Source organism: Homo sapiens, chromosome 22, assembly GCF_000001405.40.
Source record: "Homo sapiens chromosome 22, GRCh38.p14 Primary Assembly".
Classification (NCBI taxonomy): Eukaryota; Metazoa; Chordata; class Mammalia; order Primates; family Hominidae; genus Homo; species Homo sapiens.
This window is the reverse complement of record NC_000022.11, coordinates 42178544-42201790: the sequence shown is the minus strand read 5'-3', so window position 1 is coordinate 42201790 and position 23247 is coordinate 42178544. Positions and strand designations below refer to the sequence as shown.

Here is a 23247-nt window from a genome sequence, read left to right as displayed (position 1 = left end):
TGGTTTGGTTTTGTTTTTTTTTTGAGACTGAGTCTTCCTCTATCCCCCAGGCTGGACCGCAATGGCACAATTTCGGCTCACTGAAACCTTCGCCTCCCAGGTTCAAGCAATTCTCCTGCCTCAGCCTCCTGAGTAGCTGAAGTTGCAGGCACCTGCCACCATGCCTGGCTAATTTTTGTATTTTTAGTAGAGACGGGGTTTCACCATGTTGGCGAGGCTGATCTCGAACTCCTGACCTCAACTGATCCGTCTGCCTCAGCCTCCCGAAGTGTTGGGATTACAGGCATGAGCCACCGCGCCTGGTCTAAAGTTGTTTTTTTAAGTAAACTTTTTAACATGTCAGCACTAAAAGGCCCAAAATAATTAAGAATTCTGAGTTTGTGTGGTGTATCCACAGAATGATTCAGGACAAATACTTCCCTATAGCATTCCACCTCCTCCCCTAAAACAGTGAATATACTGAGAATATGTGAACTCCAGAGGGCTTGTATTAGTCCGTAAAGAAATACCTGAGGCTGGGTGATGTATGAAGAAAAGAGGTTGAATTGGCTCACAGTTCTGGAAGCTGTATAGGAAGCATGATGCCTGCATCTGCTCAGCTTCTGGGGAGGCCTCAGGAAACTTACAGTCATGGAGGGAGGTAGAGGGGGAGCAGGAAGGCTTCTTGCATGGCAGGAGCAAGACAGAGTGAGGTGCGAGGTGTTGCACACTTTCAAACAACCAGGTCTTGTGAGAACTCAGTATCACAGGAATAGCACCCACATGATCCAGCCACCTCCCACCAGGCCCTGCCTCCAGCATTGGGTGCTACAGTTCAACCTGAGATTTGGTGAAGTCACAGATCCAAACCATATCAGGGATCTATTGTATTTGAAGGATTTAGCCTTTAATTTACGGGCAGTGCAAAACCATTAGTGATTTCTAAGCGTGTAAGTCACATGTACAGGTTTGTGTTTTATAAAGGAAACTCAGGAAATAAGTAGGGAGACATCAGAAGCAGACAGGTCATTCGAGAGGCTGTGGGATTAATTTGTGCAAGAGCTGGTAAGGACCGAGTATGTGGTAGAAACGGGAGTCAGAAGGATTGGATGGATCTGAGAAACGTTTTAGGGATTCAAAGTTGATAGACTTTTTTTTTTTTTTTTTTTTGAGACGAAGTCCTGCTCTGTCACCCATGCTGGAGTGCAGTGGCACGTTCTCGGCTCACTGCAACCTCCACCCCCCAGTTTCAAACATCCTCCCAGGCCTCAGCCTCCCAAGTAGCTGGGATTACAAGCATGTGCCACCATGCCGACTAATTTTTGTATTTTTTAGTAGAGATGGGGTTTGACCATGTTGGCCAGGCTGGCCTCGAACTCCTGACCTCAGGCGATCCACCTGCCTCCCAAAGTGCTGGGATTATAGGCGTGAGTCACCACACCCGGCTAAAGTTGATAGATTTTAAACACTGACTAGATGCAGCAGGTTTGGGAAAGTGAGGAGGCAGAGGTCAAGGATGAAGTTGAGGTTTCTAGCTCCAGCAAGTCAGTGGGCGAGGTGAGGGGTCATCAACATACCAATAACAGAAAGAAGGGTTGAAGAAAAGAAATTTAGGTTTGCGTTTAATATGTATTAGACAAGAAAATATTAGATATGAAGGCAGTTCAGCCTAATATACATGTTTAGATAAGTCAACACTAGATTCTAATACAGCATTTTAAATAACTGCTTGCTTTTTATTTAGCCTTTCAAATAGATGTAAACTGATAAATTTTTAAATCCAAATTGAAAGAAAGTGGAGAGAAAAATAGGAAATCATGAGGTCTGTGTCATGTTTATAAAAAAAAACCCAGAGAATCCCAAAAAGATACCAAAAAAATTTAAGCTATCATCATAATTATTCCTAAAATGTAATTGGAAGGGGAAACAGAAAGGATAACTTGCTGTTTGGGCTTTTTTTTTTTTTTGGACAGAGTCACTCTTGCCCAGTCTGGAGTGCAGTGGTGCGATCCCAGCTCACTGCAACCTCTGCCTCCCAGGTTCAAGCGATTCTCCTGTCACCACATCTGGCTAATTTTTTTTTTTTTTTTTTTTTTTTTTTTTTTGTAGAGATGGGGTTTTGCCATGTTAGCCAGTCTGGTCTCGAACTGCTGACCTCAGGTGATCCACTTGCCTTGGCCTCCCAAAGTGTCGGGATTACAGGCCTGAGCCACCACACCTGGCCTGTTTAGACTTTTAAAATAATTTTCCCAAGATACTGACAATGTGGTGAAAAACCAAGACTGTATTTAATTACACTGAGAAAGAGCACATGTCAAACATTTTTATGGGCCTGAAGAAAACCTCTCTGTTGTGCACAGTTGTACCCTATTTCCTCAGTTTCAGAATGCAGCCTCGTGCCTTTATGCACTGAATTGAGGCTAGGCAAAGTGCTACCACATGACTCTATGGTGAAATGGGCTCTGAAGTGGGAATCGTCGCTCTGCCCATAGGAAGGAGCAAGAAACATGGGAAAAGGCAGAAGAAAAGAAAAATTGGCCACAGGGTTTAGATGAGGTGCTGGCACCATCTGTGCTGGTCAGGGTTCCCATTTGAACTCCTGAGTCATGAAAAAGATTTACATATTATTTACATAAAGATAACAGTATTATTCTTATTGTAAAACTAATGGAACTGTTCGTAGAAGAATGCCGCAATCCTGATAACCCAACATATCTGACTCTTCTAGATTTTGTCCATGTGCTGATTATTTCACTAGATATAATAGTATAATACAGTTAGCTTCCCATATTCATGGGTTCTGCATTCTTAGATTCAATCAACAGCAGATTGGAAATATTTGGAGGGGGCAGGGCGCAGTGGCTCACGCCTGTAATCCCAGAACCTTGGGAGGCCAAGGTGGGCAGATCACCTGAGGTCAGGAGTTCAAGACCAGCCTGGCCAACACAGTGAAACCCTGTCTCTACTAAAAATACAAAAAAAATTAGCTGGACGTGGTGGCGGGCGCCTGTAGTCCCAGCTACTCGGGAGGCTGAGGCAGGAGAATGGCGTGAACCCAGGAGGCGGAGCTTGCAGTGAGCCAAGATCACGCCACTGCACTCCAGCCTGGGCGACACAGCGAGACTGTCTCAAAAAAAAAAAAAAAACTTGGAAAAATTCCATCTGTTCTGAATATATACAGACTTTTTTCTTCTTGTCATTATTCTCTAAATGAGAAAGTATAACAACTTTGCATAGCATTAGCTACATCATATTAGGTATCATACATAATCTAGAGATGGCTTAAAGTATACAGGAGGATGTGCTTAGCTTATATACAAATACTGTGCTATTTTATATAAGCGACTTGGGCATCCGTGGAGTTTGGTATTGGCAGAGGTCCTGGAACCAGTCCTCCATGGATGCCAGGAATGACTGTAATGACTGCTAACATGTACTGAATGCTTTCTAAGCACTATACGTGAATTACCACATTTAGACCTCAAACCAACCCTTTCTGGTGGGTCTCATCACACTCCAGGTGAGATTTGAGGTCCAGAGAGGAGCTTGCCCAGGATTCAAACCTTGTGAGTCTCCATCATCACAGTGTAGATACAAGTCTGTGTTGCTTTTTTTACTTTATTTTGTAATTTTAATTTTCATTCTAATCTGTGATTTCTTTTTTCTTAGTTTAGCGTGAGTATAATGTAATTTATTCAAGTACCGCACTTTTATTGAGGTGGTTTCCAGTTAATTTACTACTTTCTATGGAGCAATAAGCATTTTTATTTTTCGATTTAAAGAAAAATTTATGGCTGTTGAACTGCTAGGTCAAGAAGGGCCAACATTGTTATGGTTTTTGATAGGCATTGTCTTGTGGTTTAATCAACAAAGGGTCATAACAAGGCATGAGCATCCATGAGGACAGGTGAGCCTGTTTACTGCTACCTCAGTGGCATTGGACCTTCTTTTTAAACTTTTAGTTCCTTTTCATTTATTTTATTAGTGATATTAATGTTGTTCCCTGTTAATTTTGTGTTTAATGTCCATTAATTGTTAATTTGGAATTTTATTATTCTCAATTTGTTTTTCTGTACCTATTTCTCATAGCCTGAATCACTTCTCTGGAAAATTGAGATGTATGGAACTCCTTTCTTCAGGGGTGCCCCTAAATTAGGCATTAGTAGAGCTCTTAAAAAGTTTCTCATCCCAGCCGGGCACGGTGGCTCACGCCTGTAATCCCAGCACTTTGGCAGGCCGAGACGGGCGGATCACAAGGTCAGGAGATCGAGACCATCCTGGCTAACACGGTGAAACCCTGTCTCTACTAAAAATACAAAAAATTAGCCGGGCGTGGTGGCGGGCACCTGTAGTCCCAGCTACTCTGGAGGCTGAGGCAGGAGAATGGCATGAACCCGGGAGGCGGAGCTTGCAGTGAGCCGAGATCGCGCCACTGCCCTCCAGCCTGGGCGACACAGCGAGACTCCATCTCAAAAAAAAAAAAAAAAAAGTTTCTCATCTGTAAATTAGATGATGATAGAGGACTGTAAAGGATAAAACTAACTTTGCTGGAAATCAAGTAGCCTCCTTGGTGGAGGCTAAACTATTCCTGGAAGCTTTTGAGTTGATGTGGTTTTAAAGGAAGCAAATATTATGAGCTACCTAGCATCAGCCTTAGAATTGTGTCCTCATGTGTTGGTTTAGTAAAGATAACCCTCCTGTCTCTAAACTTATTGGTGGAAATTAAACTGAAGAGAAAATTCAGCCCTATCTGATGCTGTCCACGTAAACCTGGTAATAGTGGAGTGATTTTGGTTGTATGCACTTAAGAGCTGACACTTAATTTGAAGATGTTGGCAGCATACTGCTGTCAGTTAACGTGCCTTATGAAAATAGAATTGAAGAACTGCTACACAGGCAGATAGACAATACCAGGGTCAACAGAATAACAAATTTCCAGCCGAACTCAAATCTGAAGTGGTGCTAGTCCCTTCTGATGGACTAGCACCACCAGTGGGACCTGGGTGCCCTGACATTGTTCAGCGGTGGAGGCATTTCATCTCTGTTATGTGTTTCTCACGGAGCAGCTAGTGGAAGTTTCTAGTAAAATGTATATTCATCTAACAAGTCTCAGGCCTATTCATTGTGGCTGGCTCCCTAGGGGTGCCATGTGGTTCCAGACTTTGAAAGCTGTGATTGTGAACCTTAAATCTTAGTTCAGACACATGTCAGGTGAAGGCCTCTGGTTTGCTTGAAAGTTATTTTTGTTTTTTCATACAAAGCTGGTTGCTAGGATAATAGTGTAATTCATTAGGATAAGTGATAGGACAGTTCCCAAATTATTCTGTTTGCTTGTTTCTAGGTAGGGTTCTTTATTGAAGTAATAAAAATATACTAATGCTTTGAAAGGGCAACCCCTCAAAAATGAAATGTATTTGTTTGCTGATATAAGACTTTGTGTCTCCCTCCTCTTCAGAGAGCAGGCCTGGGCATTTTAATCCACTATTATTTGTGAAAAGCACATCGATTTAAAACCAGCTCACCTGTCACCTCATTCCCCAGGCAGCAAGTGCTGCCCAGCTGCACTCCCATTTTACCTGTTACACCACTTAGCACCCATGGGTCAAATCCCCCAAGTCACTCCAATAGTGGCAGGTCTGAGTGCCTCCTCACTGAGGGTAGGACAGACCTCTGAGACCTTACTGACTCAGCCTTCCCTTTGCAGGTTACACAGACCCAACAGTATTCAGAGCCTATGCCTCCCAGCACTTATGCAAATGCCCAGCTAAGCTGGAGCTGCTCTTGGGGTGACTACCAGCTTATCTGATTGTCGTCCTCACCAGATAGGCTCCCCAAGGGCTGAGTTGGCCCCAGAGCCCACCCTAATGCCTGGCATGGGGGGTGATCAGTGCAGGGTAAATTTGTGACTGACAGGTTCTTTAAGAGACACGTAGAAGCAATGTAACCTCCAGTGGGAAGAGGTGGGCCTTTGGATGCCATTTAAATATGTATGTTTAAAAGTATGTAATATTGAGCTGGGCATGGTGGCTCACACCTGTAATCCTGGCACTGTGGGAGGCCGAGGCAGGCGGACCACCTGAGGTCAGGAGTTTGAGACTAGCCTGGCCAACGTGGGGAAACCCCATCTCTACTAAAAATACAGAAGTTAGCTGGGCATGGTGGTGGGCACCTGTAATCCCAACTGCTGGGGAGGCTGAGGCGGGAGAATCGCTTGAACCGGGAGGTGGAGGTTGCAGTGAGCTGAGATCGCGCCATTGCACTCCAGCCTGGGTGACAAGAGCGAAACTCCATCTCAAAAAAAAAAAAAAAAAGTATGTAATATTGGAAATAATTTGTGAATATGCTGGTCAGAATTTTAATCTACGTATAAAAATTTAAGGAGATGTTAAAATGTGTTTTGGTAGTGAGACTGATTTTTGTTTTCCTGTTATAGTTTTGGGGAAAAAAATGATGAGAGATGGATGACCAGCAGCATTCTTAATTTCTTGTCCTTGTGGTTCTTTGTAAGGCAGAGGAACAGGTTTTGCCTTCATTATAGAGGGCATCTGTATGAGGCTTTGTTGTTCATGAGTTTCAGTGTATGTCTCTGGGGACAAAAATGTGAGTTGCCACTGGGTGAATGTAGTGCCACCTGAATGTTGAAAAACACAACTCCTGAATCACCACCAAACCTGTTCTTCCTCCAGGGTCTCCCAAGAGAACAGGTTTGGTGGGGATTCAGGAGTTGTATTTTGTTCATGTTAAGTCTGAGATGCCTCCTAGACATTGAAATGCACAATGACCATTTCAGAATGAAGGAATTTCCAGTGGATAGTTTTTAGCAGGTAAAAGCAGCCCCACCTTATGTTCAGTGAGCACTTGTGTAAGTGCTGGGAGGCATGGTCTATGGATACTGTGAGGTCTGTGTAAGTGTGGAGAAGCTACACCTAACTCGGCCAAAGGGAGGGCTGAGTCAGTAAGGCCTCAGAGGCCTGCCCTCCCCATGTGGCACTTGGACCTGCCACTACTAGAGTGACTTGGGGGGTTTGAAGCGTGAGTGGCAGGGGAAATAGGCACATGTCAAGAACCACACTCTGCTGCTTTGCCAGTCTCCTCCACCATGCCCTGTGAAACTCACAGTCCACCAAGAGCACTCTCTTAGTTCTCTGCTCTGAACAACCACTTTGCCTGGCTTTCTCAGTAACACCATCTACCGCTACCCCCGCCCCCACCCCACACTCTCCCAGGCAGAAGCAGAGTCATTAGTATTTAGCCCTCTCACTGTGGGCCAAGTGACAACTTGTTCCTTCACTAGGGTACATCAGGACAGGGATAAGCGTTAAGCATCCCTGGTAGAGACCTGAGGAACATTGTGCAAGGCGGCCGGGGTTGTTGATAGTATCTGTATCAACTACTAATGTTTTAGTTTCGCCTCCTGGCAGGGCGAGGGTTTTAGCAGTGCCACAGAAACCGTTCTTCATTGAAGCAAATCATCTCCCAATAATGGAATCTCACTAACTTGCTGACCCAGCATTCTGTTCTCTCAGACCTACCTCATCCCTTCCCACCTTTGGAAAAAAGCTCCATTTAAGGTGAATATGCCAACAAAAAATCTTGTTGCTCAGCTCCAGAAGATTCTCTGTTTAAGATCTTCCAAATTAGCTGTAGAGAACCCCAGGAAATGATCCAGCCACATAAAGACTCACTTTTCCCACGGACCCCCAAGGAGCTCTGAAACCACCAGCAAACACCCAGTTGTTGCCTTTAGCTCCTTAATTTGACTTGGGAACTCTGAAATCCCTTAGTCATTGGTGTATTTTCAGACAATTTCAATAATCTGACCAGTCCCATCCTCTACTTGTTGCTTTTTTCTAATCTCACTCTTGAAAGAAAAGTCATGTGATAGAACCACCTTTTATTATACGACCACCACACTGCCCAGAGACAAGGCCCAAAGGAGAGCACAGAGGCTCTTGAATTTACTGGACGGTCTTTGTTGGCAAAGAGTCATAATTATAGAATCTTTTAGGTCATATTTTATCCTTCATCCAGACATCTGTAGGAGTTGGCTTCTTGGGAAACTATAACATCACTTAGCCCCTAAGCTGAATTTCTTAACCTGTAAAATGGAGTTAATAACTGGACTGCCTTGTCAAGGTGTTGGATAAATGAAATCTGTCCTAACAATAGACACTTAAATCTTGGGCCTGGGCATGGTGGCTCACATCTGTAATCCCATCACTTCAGGAGGCTGAGGTAGGAGGATTGCCTAAGCCCAGGAGTTTGAGACCAGCTTGGGCAACAAAGTGAGATGCCATCTCTACAAAAAATAAATCAGCCAAGTGCAGTGGTATGCACCTGTGGTCCCAGCTACTAAGGAAGTAGAGGCAAGAGGATTCCTCTAGCCCAGGAATTTGAGGTTGCAGTGAGCTCTGATTGTTCCACTATGAGTACAGTGGCACAATCAAAGCTCACTGCAACCTCAAACTCTTTGGCTTGATGAATGAGTGACAGAGCGAGACCCTATCTCAAAAAAAAAAAAAAGTGTAGGTGGAGGAGGAGGAGATGTATTGAGGAATTATGCAGGATTTCTAAACTTGGTTATATTACTTCCAGATCTCTATTTTCTTCATGGAGACTCTTGGAGTTTCCTTTTCTTTTTTTCCTTTTTCCTTTTCTGTTGAAATGAGGATTGTACTCTTGCTGAGTATCTTCCTAATCTGGTAGGAATCTTCTGAAACAGAAATGTAGAAGAAAATTTCCATATCTATGAAGATGAATTGAACCAATAGTTCTAAAACTTTCTTGAGGATAAGAACCTGGGATGCTTCCCATTCAGTCTCTTCTGGGACAGTGTCCTCAGTCTGTGTTTTTTAACTCAAGCTTAGGACCATGCTGGTGCAGGTGGCAGAGTTACCCTTTGAGAAATGCAAAAATCAATTCTGAAAACTGAAGGTTCATAAGCTAGTCACAGATTTGGGTGCCAAAGTTTCCATTCTAGTGTGGACGTAGTTTTTCCTTCCAGTAGGTTTCCAGGAAGAAAAGGCCCCGGTTTGAGCATGACCTGTGGGAGTGACCTGAAATGAGATGTGAGACTATGTCTCATGTTGTTGCCAAATTAAATGACCCCACTGAAGCTTGGCTGAGAGGTGGCAGGGGCTGGCTTAGGATTTGAGGACCAGTGATCCTGTGGTAGTTTCATTGGCATTAGCTTCAGTATATCAAGATATCCTCGTTTTTGAAAGTTCCTTTCTGCTGGGACTCTGCTATTTCCTGAGCCTCCAGTGTCTGTCCTGTCAGGCTGCCCCTGCCTTTGAAAAACTTGCCACTTCCAGGAATAGGGTGGCTTTGCCTGACAATACCTCAACCTGTTTGAGAAGATGGACAGGCGAGAGCGTTGGTGAGATGGCAGTGGCTCCGGGTGCGAAAGAGGAAGGTAATATGAATGCAAGTAGGAAGAAAGGAGTAAAAATGAGAAAGACCTCCAGAGCCAAGTGTTTGGAACAGCTTTGGAGATTTCCGCTTCAGTATGATCTTCACAGATTTGAAATCTTGTTAAGGGAGTCCTATTGTGGCAGCAGGTTTGTCGTTTCTGCACTGAAACTGTAAACATTTCAGTATGGGTGCCTTGTGAATAAGCAGCTTCCAGTAATTGGCTTTCTGGAAGCACAGACCCAACTCCTGGGTAGGATGAGCCATGGAGAGAAGCAGCTTACACCAAGAGTCACTTCCCTGGAGTGTAATTTCTTTAAAAAGATGCCTTTTTAGATTCAGAAAGCACAAAATGTAATCATTTCTCTTTATAAGCTAATCCACTGTTTGAGCAAAGGGTAAAATAAAAATAAGCTAGTGCAAGACCTTGTGCAACTTCAATTTCAGTGTTTCAAACTATGTAAGTATTTCTCTCCCTGTACTTGAGAAAAAGCTCTTCTCTTTCTTCATCACAGGGCTGCCGCAGGTCTCCTACTCCTGCTGGGTTCAGCCTTTTCTCAGGTTCTCTGCTTTTATTCAGAGGAAAAGTGCTAATCAATGGCTTATACCTAGTCCTGGACTCTAGCACTCTGTGCCCTTCCTTTCTAATTTCTTAAAGGGCACAAGCTCCTTTTAACATAGGAAAAACTCCGTTAGACAAAATATATAAGGTTTTCAGCACAGTGGCAATTTTCTTTTGGGGCTATAAAAGAAACCCTCTGATTAGGATTATTTTAATGGAGTATATATAACTGTAGATAAGATAAAATGCAGGCTGGGTGCAGTGGCTCATGCCTGTAATCCCCGCACTTTGGGAGGCCGAGGAGGGTGGATCACCTTAGGTCAGGAGTTCGAGACCAGCCTGGCCAATATGGTGAAACCCCGTCTCTACTAAAAATACAAAAGTTAGCTGGACGTGATGGTGGGTGCCTGTAATCCAGCTACTTTAGAGGCTAAGGCAGGAGCATCACTTGAACCCGGGAGGTAGAGGTTTCAGTGAGCCAAGATCTCGTCACTGTACTCCAGCCTGGGCAACAGAGTGAGACTCCATCTAAAAAATAATAATAAAATGCAAACTGTGTTTCAGAAAAAAAGGCAAGTTTGGTTAGCACAAAGAAACATCATTAGTGACACCTGTGTTGGCCTTCTGAGTTATGAGACTTCATATTAACATTATAACAAACTACGTATACATTTTGTGCAAGAGAAAAATTACTAAACCAGGCCTTCTTGAGTAATGCTTTAATTTTCCAGAAGGGGGACATAGATTGGATTTAACTTAAATTGAGGCAAATGGATGTATTTTATTTGGGAAATTGTTTTTTGTTCCTCCTTTGTTTTGCCTCCATAAATTTATTAATGCAGAACCTGAAGGCTGTAAACCCAGGATAATTAGAGTTACAGTGTTACAGAACATTAAAAACCCACAGCAAGTGGCTGATATCTGCCTACCATATCTGCAGTTGAAGTTCATACCATGTGTGATAATTACGAACTTTCTTTTTTGTGGGCACCTTGGTAGAAATTATTAGTATCACCTGCCATATTTTCACATGTTACTTAAACATCAATAAAGTGTACATAGTAAAGCAGATAGCTGAGGGTGGGGAATAAGTGGTTAAATACTGTGTCTGACCTGTAAAATACGCTCTAAATAGACAAAAGGAACCCCTTTGTGTGGCAGCATAGCTGGGTTTGGTTTAGTAGCAATAGTAGATTGTTAGCTTTAACTCCTCCTGGATGTCTGTGCTGCTGCCCATAGCCTTGCAGACAAGCACAGACGGCCTTTGTAGTTTCAAGGGACCATCCATTCCACATGGGACTAGAGAGTAACAAAATGACTAGGGATCAGTGCTGGTACTTCCTGGGAAGTATGTGCAGGGTGTGTGTGTGTGTGTGTGTCAGTCAAGGTCTTGCCCTGTCATCCAGGCTGGAATGCAGTGGTGTGATCATAGTTGGCTGCAGCCTTGACCTCATGGGCTTGAGCAGTCCTCCTGCCTCAGCCTCCTGAATAGCTGGGACTACAGGGAGTGCCAACACACCCAGCAAATTTAATTTTATTTTTTGTAGAGACAGGGCCTTTCTTTGTTGCCCAGGCTAATCTTGAACTCCTGGCCTCAGGCAGTCCTCCCACCTCAACCTCCCAAAGTGCTGGGATAACAGACATGGGCCACCTTACTTGGCCCTGTTCAGGTTATTTTGCCCTGATCAGTGTCTTTAAGTAGCAGAAGATACCCCCACCGTGCCCTTTTTTCCCAACTGGGTATTATCCCCAATGTATTGTTGAGAAAATCAAGACTTAAATTAACTTGCCTAGGCTCCTGTACCAGTGAGAGACAGGGCCAAGTATAAGTTTCTTTTAGCCCTGCTGCTATTCCAGATCAGCAGCTTCAGTGGACAGCTCCGCTCCAGTGAAAAACTCCGAGAACTTCCTCTCCGCCCCAGCTTTCTCTCTTTTCCTTATTTCTTGTCTTTGTTTTTAGACTGCCTAAATTTGAGGTAAAAATCAAAAAAGATTTCTGATAAGGAATATCTGAATATAAGGAAGGTACACAGAGGAATTGTCAGTTAAACTAACTGGAACAGTTTCTTTGACTAGATTTGTCGTTGTTGTCCTCTACTTTAGGAGAAGTAAAATGATACGGAAAAAAAGCTTGCTAGCAGGGATTTATTTTAAAAAGCAAGTTTTAGGCTATGTCCTGGGATCACTTTGATAAAGCCTAGTCTCTTCCTCGTGTCTTACAAGAATACTCTTAATACAGAATCATAACTCTAAGACAACGGAAAACAATCAGTTTACTCAAAACCCTGAGCTATTTACTAAAGCAGGAAGATAGCCTGTGTTCTATAAAAGGTTTCTCGTAGTTACCCATAAAATGTCATTTGGAATTAAACCCATTCCTGACCAGTTGAGATTTTGCTCTCAGTCCAAAACATTCTCTTCTGTAAATGGAATCTTTCTAGGAGAAAGTAGCATTTAGAGCAGGTGCCACGTGTGTGCTCACCTCATCAGAATCCTGCTGTGCTGGCATCCAGAGGGCTCCCTGTCCACTGTGCTGATTTACACTGCCACACACTCAGGCTCACTGCAACACATCTCACAGACCCCCTGGCCATGTGTCAGCATCAAGTCCTGTCGGTTTTACCTTCGAAGTCTATGCTGCCTCTTGTATGCATTTCCACCACCAGTACCCAAACTCTTCCATATCATCCCTAACCCAGCAACAGCCATTGTTGGCCCTGGGTTCCTGCATATCAGCTTCCCACCCTCTCAGAGTTGTGCTCCACTGTGTTGGTTCCCTACACCCTGCCTGCTTGTCCCTCCACAAAGCAGTTTGTTCCCCTTCCCCCCAGGTAGCTCTTACTCACTCTTTATGACTCAGGTCAAGCTACACTCCCTCAAGAATGCTTTCCTGACTTCCTTAACTAGGTTGGTGGCATTAAGTCTGCGCTCTGAAGTACTGTTTACATCACTGTTTAAATTTTGCTTTACCCCCAGATCATTCTGTGAGCTCCTGGAGGGTAGACACTAGGTGAACTTTTGGCTCCCCATTTCAGCCCCTGCACACAGGCATGCAATAAAAATTTGTAGAATGAATAAAAAGAAAAGATTATTATACTTCTGAAGTCGATACCATCAACTCCTAAGGGAACTTAAATATCAAAGAAAAGAGCCCTGAGAATAAAAGGCACCTTGATCACACAGTGTCTTACAACCTTTAGAGAAACCTGCATGTCAAGGGGAAAGACCAGCCTGATCAAGTTCTTATTAATTTTCATCCAACCCATGTTTCTACTTTCTGGACATGCAGTTTTATGCTGTGGAATCAGGATTGACACATTAATAAGGCAAATTAAAAGTCCCAGAGAACAGCTCGTTAGGAAGTCAAACTGCCTTCTTCACATTCAGTAGAATAACTTACACTTTATGATTCTGAAGAAGCATGGGTCTGGTGTTTTTACTTTCGTTAGCCAAGGGTTACCTTCACATTATTGCAGAGGTCCCTTCCTCATAACACAGCTCACGGGTGAGAATCTGGATTTTTTTTTTTTTTTTTTTTTTTTTTTGAGACGGAGTTTCACTCTTGTTGCCCAGGCTGGAGTACAATGGCATGATCTCGCTCACTGCAACCTCCACCTCCCAGGTTCAAACGATTCTCCTGCCTCAGCCTCCCGAGTAGCTGGGATTACAGCCATGCACCACCACACCCAGCTAATTTTTGTATTTTTAGTAGAGACAGGGTTTCACTGTGTTGGCCAGCCTGGTCTCAAACTCGTGACCTCAGGTGATCCGCCTGCCTCGGCCTCACAAAGTGCTGGAATTACAGGCGTGAGCCACCATGCCCGGCCTGAGAATCTGGATTTTTTAAAGCAACAATGGCATAAAAAGAGGTATGTGACAGAATCTTCTGGAGAAAAGACCTCCTTCCCCAGCTGCGTCTTAGACCTACTAACTTCTCATTATTTGTTTGCTCAGTGTTAAAATGAGTAAGTCCATTGTATAAAGCTGTGTGTATTCTGAATATGTTCTTTATCTGCTCAAGATTGTGGCTAATTTCTGACATCCTCTGTTTGGTAGATGAAGTACAGAAAGACAAAGAAGGACATTCTTAATGAAGGAGAAAAGTCCTTTAATCCCAACCTTTCTAACCTGATGGAAAACATCATAACTTTACTATAAACTGCAGACAGGCTGGTCCCACCTTATGGGCACAAAGACATCGGAAGGGAAATAAGGGAACGGGCTTTCTTTGTGGATCAAAACAGAATCCAAGGATGTAGCTGTTAGATGCCGCCAAAACGGCCACACTCAAGAGATTTGGACCTGGGTCAGGCTTTCTGTGCGTTTTGTACCACTTCTGGGGCCAGCTACCACCCAACCACCACTCAGCCACAGAGACACTTATTACAGGTTTATAATTTGACTTGAAAGGTTTTCCCAAAGAAACAAATACTTGTCAGGATCTGTAGCAGAGCCATGTTTTGATTGGGGCTTTTATGGGAGGAGAATGGTGATCTAAATATATAATTTTATTTCAAATTATGCTTGAAAGATGATCAGATTAAAGAAAGTTTGTGTGAGTGTTTTCATGGGCTTGTATTGGAGGGAAGCAGATGACTGGGTCCCAGGAGGCAGAGAAGATGAACTATTGGGCCCTAAGTGTGTTGTAAGGAATAGTACCATCTGTTGGACCTAAGATCCACATGGCAGCAGAGGGTCCAGAATCAGCCACAGCAGATTATTCTAGATTAATGTGAGTAGGGACAGGTTTGGAGAAGTATGGCTAGGAGCACCTGGCAGGTGACTCTGATGCAGGCAGCAAAGGAGTCATTGGTTTCCAGGTCTGCTCTCCACATAACAGAGGGCACTGTCTGTAGAGTACAACAGGCAAGCCTGTGAGGCGGTTTTTCTCATTCTAGTTGTGCTCAATATGCCATTTTGGGGCAGTTTTCAATGCTTTCGAAATCCTGCTAGAATTTAATTTGTATGCAGTTGTGTGTCATTATTAGTCCCCATTTATTTAACATCTTTTCTTGTAATGCAAAATGCTTTAGAAAGCTTTAAAAATAGTTTTAGTTTGTATTGGTCCCAGATAGGAGAATTGAGAGGGGAGATACAATGAAAGTAATAGTAAATAGTAGCTAAGAAGTGAAGTGTCCAGAGACTTGGCCAAGAACTGACCTTCCACACCGTCGGAGATGAAACATTACTGAAACATACAGCAGCTAGACTTACCAAAAAAACGACCAGCAGCAGGTGTCCAGACCCATGCAGGGTCTGCTTGTTTAAGGCAGATTGTAGGAGAGAAATTACTTAACAAAAAATTAACTTTAAACTGTTTGTCTTAATTTAATAGACTGTACTTTGTATTATATCTGATTTTGATATCAGTAATTGCCAAAGTATGACAGAGATGAATGTATGTTTTATGTAATTTTTATTTAAAAGTTCTAATAATTACATAACTTTCTAGTTTGTAAAACACTTTTATGGTTATTTTACACAGCAGCTTTAGGCAGAAGGCAAAGCAAATACTGTTATCCCCATTTTACAGATGATAAAATTGACCTGGTGACTTTTGGCTTTCACACGTGTGCTGACACCCTCAGTTTTTTTCTCCAGTAGCCCTGTGCTGCATCATACCTGGACAGTATGCACATTAGACCAACCACATTTATTCTAAAAAGCTAGTCAAGCCTGGAACTTTTGTCTTAAGTACACACAATTAGCCCTTAGCCAGTGAGTGGCTGGCTGATGTTTCATACTGACATCATAATTGATTAAGTGTGTATTTAATGGATTCAGTTTCTGAAACTGGCACTTTTGCCGGAGCAGCTGTAGGACATAAGTGCAGATTCTAAATCCATGTACCATAACTTGAGTAGCACTGAGTAAATGGACCTGAGAAGAACTGGACAAGTCTCTGTCCCTCTGAGGTTGACTGGGAAGCCTTGGTGGTACTGGGCCGTGGTGCAGGTCCCAGAGGCTGGTGCCAGAGCCCATTCCCTCAGTCTTTGTGTTAATGGCAAGTTAAAGGTTCTCCAGCCAGTCTCATGAGCTTTTCATGAAGAAACGTAAGGAGATCGTCTAGCTCTAAGGAAGTAAGGACCAAAACACCTAGGGCTATGTATGTATTGCTTTGGCTAACACTTTGAAGTAGTCTTTAAGAAGCTTGATAGGATGCAGAGTTGCATCAAAGAAATGCTCACAGGGCCTTGAAGGGTAGCTCCTTGTATGTAGCCCATCTAGCTGCCACGTAGTTGGCATTGATAGCTGGGAGGACAGCGGCTTCCATCCTAGATGTAGGAGGCATAATTAAAAGGACAAAAAACTTTTTGCTGGTGGCCAAAAATGAACACATACCTTGTTCCACATTCTCCAAGCTCCACCAGCATCAGTTTTGTAACTCATTGAAGAGTATCCTCATTAGTTGTCTTCAGGCTCTCAAGTTTGTCAGACATTGCATTCATTCCATCAGCCCACATTTACAGTGCCTATGGTGTGCCAGTCCTTGGGGGGTGCAAGAACAAGTCTCACAGTTTAGGGGAGATGGACAAACATGAGTAAGTAAATATTGTGAGCATGAGCAGAAGTGTGTGCCATGCTGGATAAGAGCCGTCTTAGGCACAGTAGTGGAGGGTAATCTGCAAGGCTTGAACAAAACCAGTTGTCATCAGTGTGCTATAATACTACTGTGACCCAGTTGCTTTGGTGTTCTGAGGCTGCTCTGAGATGCTAATTAAACAGGATGATGATTCAGGTTGCTGTTATATCTCATAAGAAAGAGCCTTTCTGTGAATGAGCAGGCATCAGGCTTGGAGAAGGCTCCCTTAAAGCTTCCCTCAGATAAGGATTAAACAACGCTAGTTGACTCAGTCCTTGCAGTTTGCTACCTCAAGTCAGCGAGCCCTGCCTCTGAGACAGTGACAAAGTCTGGTGAAAGGTTCAAGCTCTGTATCTGGGCCACTTTCCGTTAAAACATGTCCCAAAACTAATAATACCTTTTATAATTTATTTCCCAAGTTTAGAGTATCAAAAAATGTGAGGTTCTTATTAGAGTTCTTTAAAAATAGTTTTTATTCCCTTCCATAATAAAAAATTTACTATTAAAAGATTTTGAAGTTTGGGCCATTCCTTATTTTTAAAATGTGTCTTAATTTAGAAATCATGCTTGGAGCCCCCAATGTGTCTCATTCTTCCTGGGGAGCAGTATTGTATGGACTTACCTCTGCTTGGAGTGAATGTAGTAACACTGTGGTCAAAAACAAAGGACATTTAGCTGTGCAGTGACTTTAATATATTATTTGTAGCATAGGAGGATGATAATGCAAATAGCTACTCCAGGTAAAAAGTATAGAATAAAAATTTAATTAGAAATTGTACTGGCCTGGGTATTGATTTTTGGGTAGAAGGGAAAACCTTACACATGGAAGATACTATAGATAAGTATTTATATTCTATCTTTGGCACCTGGCACCTAGAAAGTACTTTTCAAATGTTGGATAGTTGAGTGAATGAAGGGGGCTAACAGGCGTCATGGTATGGTATGAAGAAAGTTGAACTTGGGGTTCAGAAGAAAAAGAGGTAAAGTTCTAAGTTCTCTTACTAGCTATGTGATCTTTAGCAGGTCACTTTGCTTTAGCCTCTTGTTTCTTCTACAAGAAAAACAGATGTCGAAGACAGACCCAGAGTTCCTTCTTTATTGATCTCCTGATGTCACAATTTGCCTAGTGAAATTGTAGGTTTCACTAGGCAAATTGAGGGAGAAATCTGTTGCATTAAAGAACCTAAGGCCAGGTGCGGTGGCTGATGCCTGTAATCCCAGCACTTTGAGAGGCTGAGGTGGGCAGATCACCTGAGATCAGGAGTTCAAGACTAGCCTGGCCAACATGGTGAAACCTCATCTCTACTAAAAATACAAAGATTAGCTGGGCGTGGTGGCAGGTGCCTGTAATCCCATCTACTCGGGAGGCTGAGGCAGGGGAATCGCTTGAACCCGGGAGGTGGAGGTTGCGGTGAGCCGAGATCATGCCATTGCACTCCAGAGCGACAAGAGCGAAACTCCATCAAAAAAAAAAAAAAAGAACCTAAAAGGAAAATGAACAATCACTTGAGAGTCTTGGGAAATCCCCGTGTATTAGTTTTCTATCATTGTCATAACACCTTACCACAAACTTGTTAATACAGTTCTGCTTACAGTTCTGTAGGTTCAAAGTCCAACACAGGTGTCTTACTGGGCTGGAATTGAGGTGTGGGCTGGGCTTTGGAAAAGTCCAGAGTCTTAGGGGAGAACATGCTTCCTTGCCTTTTAAAAATTCTGCAGCTGCCGCCCTGTCCCTTCTCCCATCTTCCAGGCCAGCAGCATTGCACCTATGACCCTGCTGGCAAATCATCAGGTCTCCCTGAAGCTGACAACTGTAACTCCCTCTGGGGGGGAATCGTTTGCTTTTATGGGCCTGTGTGATTAGATTGGGCCCACCTGGATAACCTAGCATATTCTTCCCATCTCAAGGTCCTTGACTTAATCTCATCCACAAAGTTGATTTTGTATATATAAGATCACAGGTTCTTGGGATTCTGCCTACCATATCCCAAGATCTGATTGCTCTGTAGGAGACAGAACACTGAATGGCTCTCAGGAAACCAGTAATCCAGTAATCCTAGCTCACCCAGTCATTGTGTCTCTCTGGGTTTCTTTTTTCCGCATCTGAAAAGTTGGGGAGTTGAATTAGACCAGTGGTCCTCAAACTGCATTGTACATCAGAATAGCCTGGAGGACTTCTCACAACACAGATTTAGGTGGGGCTCAAAAGCGTGCATTTCTGCCAAGCACAGTGGCTCACGCCTGTAATCCCAGCACTTTGGGAAGCCAAGGCAGGTGGATCACTTGAGGTCAGAAGTTCAAGACCAGCCTGGCCAACATGTTGAAACCCCGTCTCTAGTAAAAAAACAAAAAGTTGCCAGGTGTGGTGGTTCATGCCTGTAATCCTAGCTACTTGGGAAGCTGAGGCACGAGAATCACTTGAACATGGGAGTCGGAGGTTGCAGTGAGCCAAGACTGTGCCACTGCACTCTAGCCTGGGTGACAGAACGAGACTCTGTCTCAAAAATAACCCAAAAAACAAAACTGCATTTCTGACAAGTCCCTGAGTGTTGCTGATGCTGCTGTTCCAGGGGACCACACTTCAAAAACCACTGAACTAAACTGTCTTTAAGGATCTTTCTCTAAGTCCCTAATACAGCCTGAGAGTCTTTCCCCTTTGGATGCAATGTTATAAATTAATCATAGTGGAGTTTGCACACTGCTTGCCAGGTTGTGGAGTTGAGGTAGGAAGCAAATGGACATTGTTCAGATCTAAGCTCCACGTCTTCTCTTTCCTCTTGTAAACCGGGATGGTGATGAGGCCTGCTGTGTGGTTGCTTTTCATGAGATGGTCTTTGTAGATTATCTAGCATATGTCTGACACATGGTCATCTTGGGTCACATTTACTTAGCACTTTTGACCCAGCCACTGTTTTAAGCCTGAATTAATTCATTTAACCCTTATGACATTTCTATGAGGTGAGTGCTATTATTAGTCCCACGTCTGTAGGTTGAGGAACAGAGGTTAGGAGTTTGGCCAAGAAGGCAGAGCTAGAAAGTGGAGCCACTTACCAGGCAGTTATTTAGGTTCCAGAGCATGCATACTTAACCCTTCTACAGCAGCACCCAAGTTTCCTGTAACAAGGCTAGAGGTGGCCTGGTCCTGGGTTTGGGTGATTTAGTGCTTGACAGTGTCATGGTAGGCCCAGGTCTCTCCATCTTGCCACTCTTCTGTCCTCAGCAGGCTGGCTTTGTCTTCAGGGCTGTCCCCTCATGGTGATACTGTGGCTGCCACAGATCCCACTGTCTAATCCTCACAGAGGCTGCGCAAGAAAAATTACCTGTTCCTCCCTCTTGTCTCTTTTTGAGAGGGTGAAACTTTCATGCTTGTAATCTTAGCACTTTTGGAGGCTGAGATGGGAGAATTGCTTGAGCCCAGGAGTTCAAGGACAGCCTGGGCAACATAGTGAGACCCTGTCTCTACAAAAACATTTTTTGAAAAAGCTGGATGTGGTAGCACACACCCTGTAGTCTCAGCTACTCGGGAGGCTGAGGTCAGGAGAATCACCTGAGCCTGGGAGGTAGAGACTGCAGTGAGCCATGATTGTGCCACTGCACTCCATCCTGGGTGACAGAGCAAGACATCGTCTCAAAATATATTAAAAAAAAAAAAAAAAAGGTTGGGGGGAGTGCAAAATGTTTTCAGAAGCCCTTTTTCCTGCAGACTTTCCTACCAGAAATGCTTGACCATACCCATTCCTAAATGGCCACCACTCACTGTGATTCATCCCCCAGGGTAGGGAGGGCCATATCTTCGGGCCTCTTGAGTAAGAAAGTGGCAGCAGGAGGCCAGATGCGATGAGGTCAGGAGTTTGAGACCAGCTTGGCCAATATGCAAAACCCCATCTCTACTAAAAATACAAAAATTAGCCTGGCGTGGTGGCATACGCCTGTAATCCCAGCTACTCAGGAGGCTGAGGCAGGAGAATGGCTTGAAACTGGGAGGCAGAGGTTGCAGTGAGCCAAGATTGCGCTACTGCACTCCAGCCTGGGCGACAAAGCAAGACTCCATCTCAAAAAAAGAAAGTGGCAGCAGACATGGCTGCAGGTTGGCCACCGATGGACTACCCACACTCCCTTCTCTGAAGTTGATAGTCCTTTTGATTCTGAGATGCTCTGTGGCACTGACAAAGGTCGACAGAGTCTAGGGCTACTAGAAATGCTGTGAACTTGTCCTTGGTTTACTCCAGACCAAATGATCTTTTCTCTCTTAACAAGGGTGCGAGGGCACATGATAAACATTTACTGATTATGGGCACCCAGAAGGACCTTGATCTTCTGAGAGCAGGGCAAAGCTTTTGAAGGACTAATCTCTTCCAGCCCTTGTTCCTACCTCTTTTGTCTCTGGAGGATGCCAGAGATGATCATCCAGAATCTCAGCTCTGACCTGGAACAAGTTATTTTCCCTTTGGTGTCTCAAGAGTTTCACGTGAAGCATTAGGAGTGCCTGCCAGGTGGAATAGTGCAGAGGGCTGGATGAGATCATTCAGTCTGAGCGTGGCGAGCGCTTGGGCTTTGCTGTTGCTGGCGTTAGTGTAGTTTTCCATCAGTATCTGTGTCGGGGGCCTGAGCCAGCTCAGTGTAATTGCTTAGGGAACACTTTTATTTTTCATAGAAGCAGGAACAAGTTTCTGTCTCTTCCAGCTAGTCTTGCTGGTTGTGTGCCTCTGCTATCTGAAGAGCCAGCATCCTTAGTAGGGTCACATGTGGTTGAGTTTTATGAATGTGTTTGTTGCTGATAGGACACATTTCTTACCTGACAGGATGAGCACTCACAGCAGCCACATCACAGGGCTGACAGAGATGTGCCCCACTTTAAGAAAACCTGACCATATAAGGAGGAGTGTCTCAATTACAAAATAATGTCTCACTTAGCCAGAAATTCATGGCAGGTTTTCTGGTGCATTTAAAATAAGATTCATGTATAAAAATACCATTTGCACACAGGAGCCCATATTTTCTGAAAAGGGAAATGTATTGGGCATTTGGGGTAAGTAGATCAAAAATAAAAATAAAATCTTCTTACAAATACAAGAACTAGAAACCAAATTCCACTTCTAATTCTAAAAGGTTTATATATAACTCTACTACCTTACCCTCTCTTACCCCAGATTTTCACAGCAGAAGTAAACAGGGAAGATCTGCAGGCCGCTCACGATAGCAGCAAGGAAATGCCTGGCATAGTGTGTGGGTGGGTGGATGGCGGGGGTACCAGAGGCAGGGCTGGGGACCCCACTCTGGCATGTCCTTTATGACATGGATTGCTCATCTCACCCTGCTGTATTGTTGATTTGAGAACATTTGTGAGGCTTGGTCTAAAACATTATTGCTGGATCCCTTCCCATGGTGTGGTCAGTGAATGGCATTTAGAAATTGACCAGCTCATCCTGCCACCACGGACTCCTCTAACCACAGAGACACGTGCTGAGGTCTAACAGATGGGGACCAGGGAAGGCCTGGAGGAGAGGGCCAAATCTGGGATACTGACATGCCTGACTTTTCCCTTCCTTTCAGAAATGTTCCCACTGCCAGGAGGCAGGCGCCACCTTGGGCTGCTACAACAAAGGCTGCTCCTTCCGATACCATTACCCGTGTGCCATTGATGCAGGTAAGAGGAGACCACAGACCCTTGTCCAGAGCATCCAAAGGATTAGGACATACAGTTTGATTCTCTCTGTTGTCGTTGTTTTTTTTCTTTTCTTTTCTTTTTTTTTTTTTTTTTTTTTGTCACTTCATAAAAAAACTTCCCACCCATTAGCAGCACTCATCTCCCTTCCCTTCCCTCCAGTCCCTGGCAACCACTATTCTGTTTTCTTTTTTAAATTTTTATGATTTTTTTTTCCCTTTAAGCTCTGTTGGACTCAATCCTTTCTATCTCTGTGGGCTTTGCTGTACATTTGGGTTACTTCCACTTTTTGACTGTTATGAATAATGCTGCTATAGAACATTCACATGCAAGCATTTGTGTGAACATGTTTTCAGTTCTCTTGGATGTGTACCTGGGAGTAGAATTGCTGGATCATATGGTAACTCTGTTTAACCTTTTAAGGAACTGTCAGACTGTTTTCCAAAATGGCTGCCCCATTTTACGTTCTCAGTGGCAGTGCATGAGTGTTCTCCTTTCCCCAGGTCCTCCCTGACACTTGCTGTCATATGTGTTTCTTTTTTTTTTTTTTTTTAATTGTAGCCAGCCCAGTGGGTATGAAATGTTATTTCATTGTGGTTTTTATTTGTATTTCCCTGATGGCTAATGTCGAGCATTTTTTTCTTGTGCCTATTGGCCATTTGTACATCTTCTTTGGAGAAATAGCTATTCACATCCTTTGCCCATTGTAAAATTGGGTTGTTTATCTTTTTAATGTCAAGTTTTAAGAATTATTTGTAGGCCGGGCGGGTGGATCATGGGGTCAGGAGTTCAAGACCAGCCTGGCTAAAATAGTGAAACCCCGTCTCTACTAAAACTACAAAAATTAGCCAGATGTGACGCGCACCTATAGTCCCAGCTACTCGGGAGTCTGAGGCAGGAGAATCACTTGAACCCGGGAGGCAGAGGTTGCGAGATCACGCCACTGCACTCCAGCCTGGGCAACAGAGTGAGACTCTGTCTCAAAAAAAAAAAAAAAAAAAAAAAGAATTATTTGTAATTCTGGATATGTGGTTTGCAAATGTTTTC

General features: G+C 43.6%; 1 protein-coding gene across 10 annotated transcripts in view; it reads left to right on the top strand.

Moving 5' to 3' along the window:
• The window catches only part of TCF20 (transcription factor 20), a 183525-nt gene that overhangs the window by 141747 nt on the left and 18531 nt on the right, over positions 1–23247 (top strand). For all 10 annotated transcript variants that reach the window (XM_047441476.1, XM_047441474.1, NM_005650.4 and 7 more), the window contains one exon: positions 22089–22182. In XM_047441476.1, the coding sequence (XP_047297432.1) occupies positions 22089–22182 (94 nt within the window). The remainder of the gene's footprint in view (positions 1–22088; positions 22183–23247) is intronic.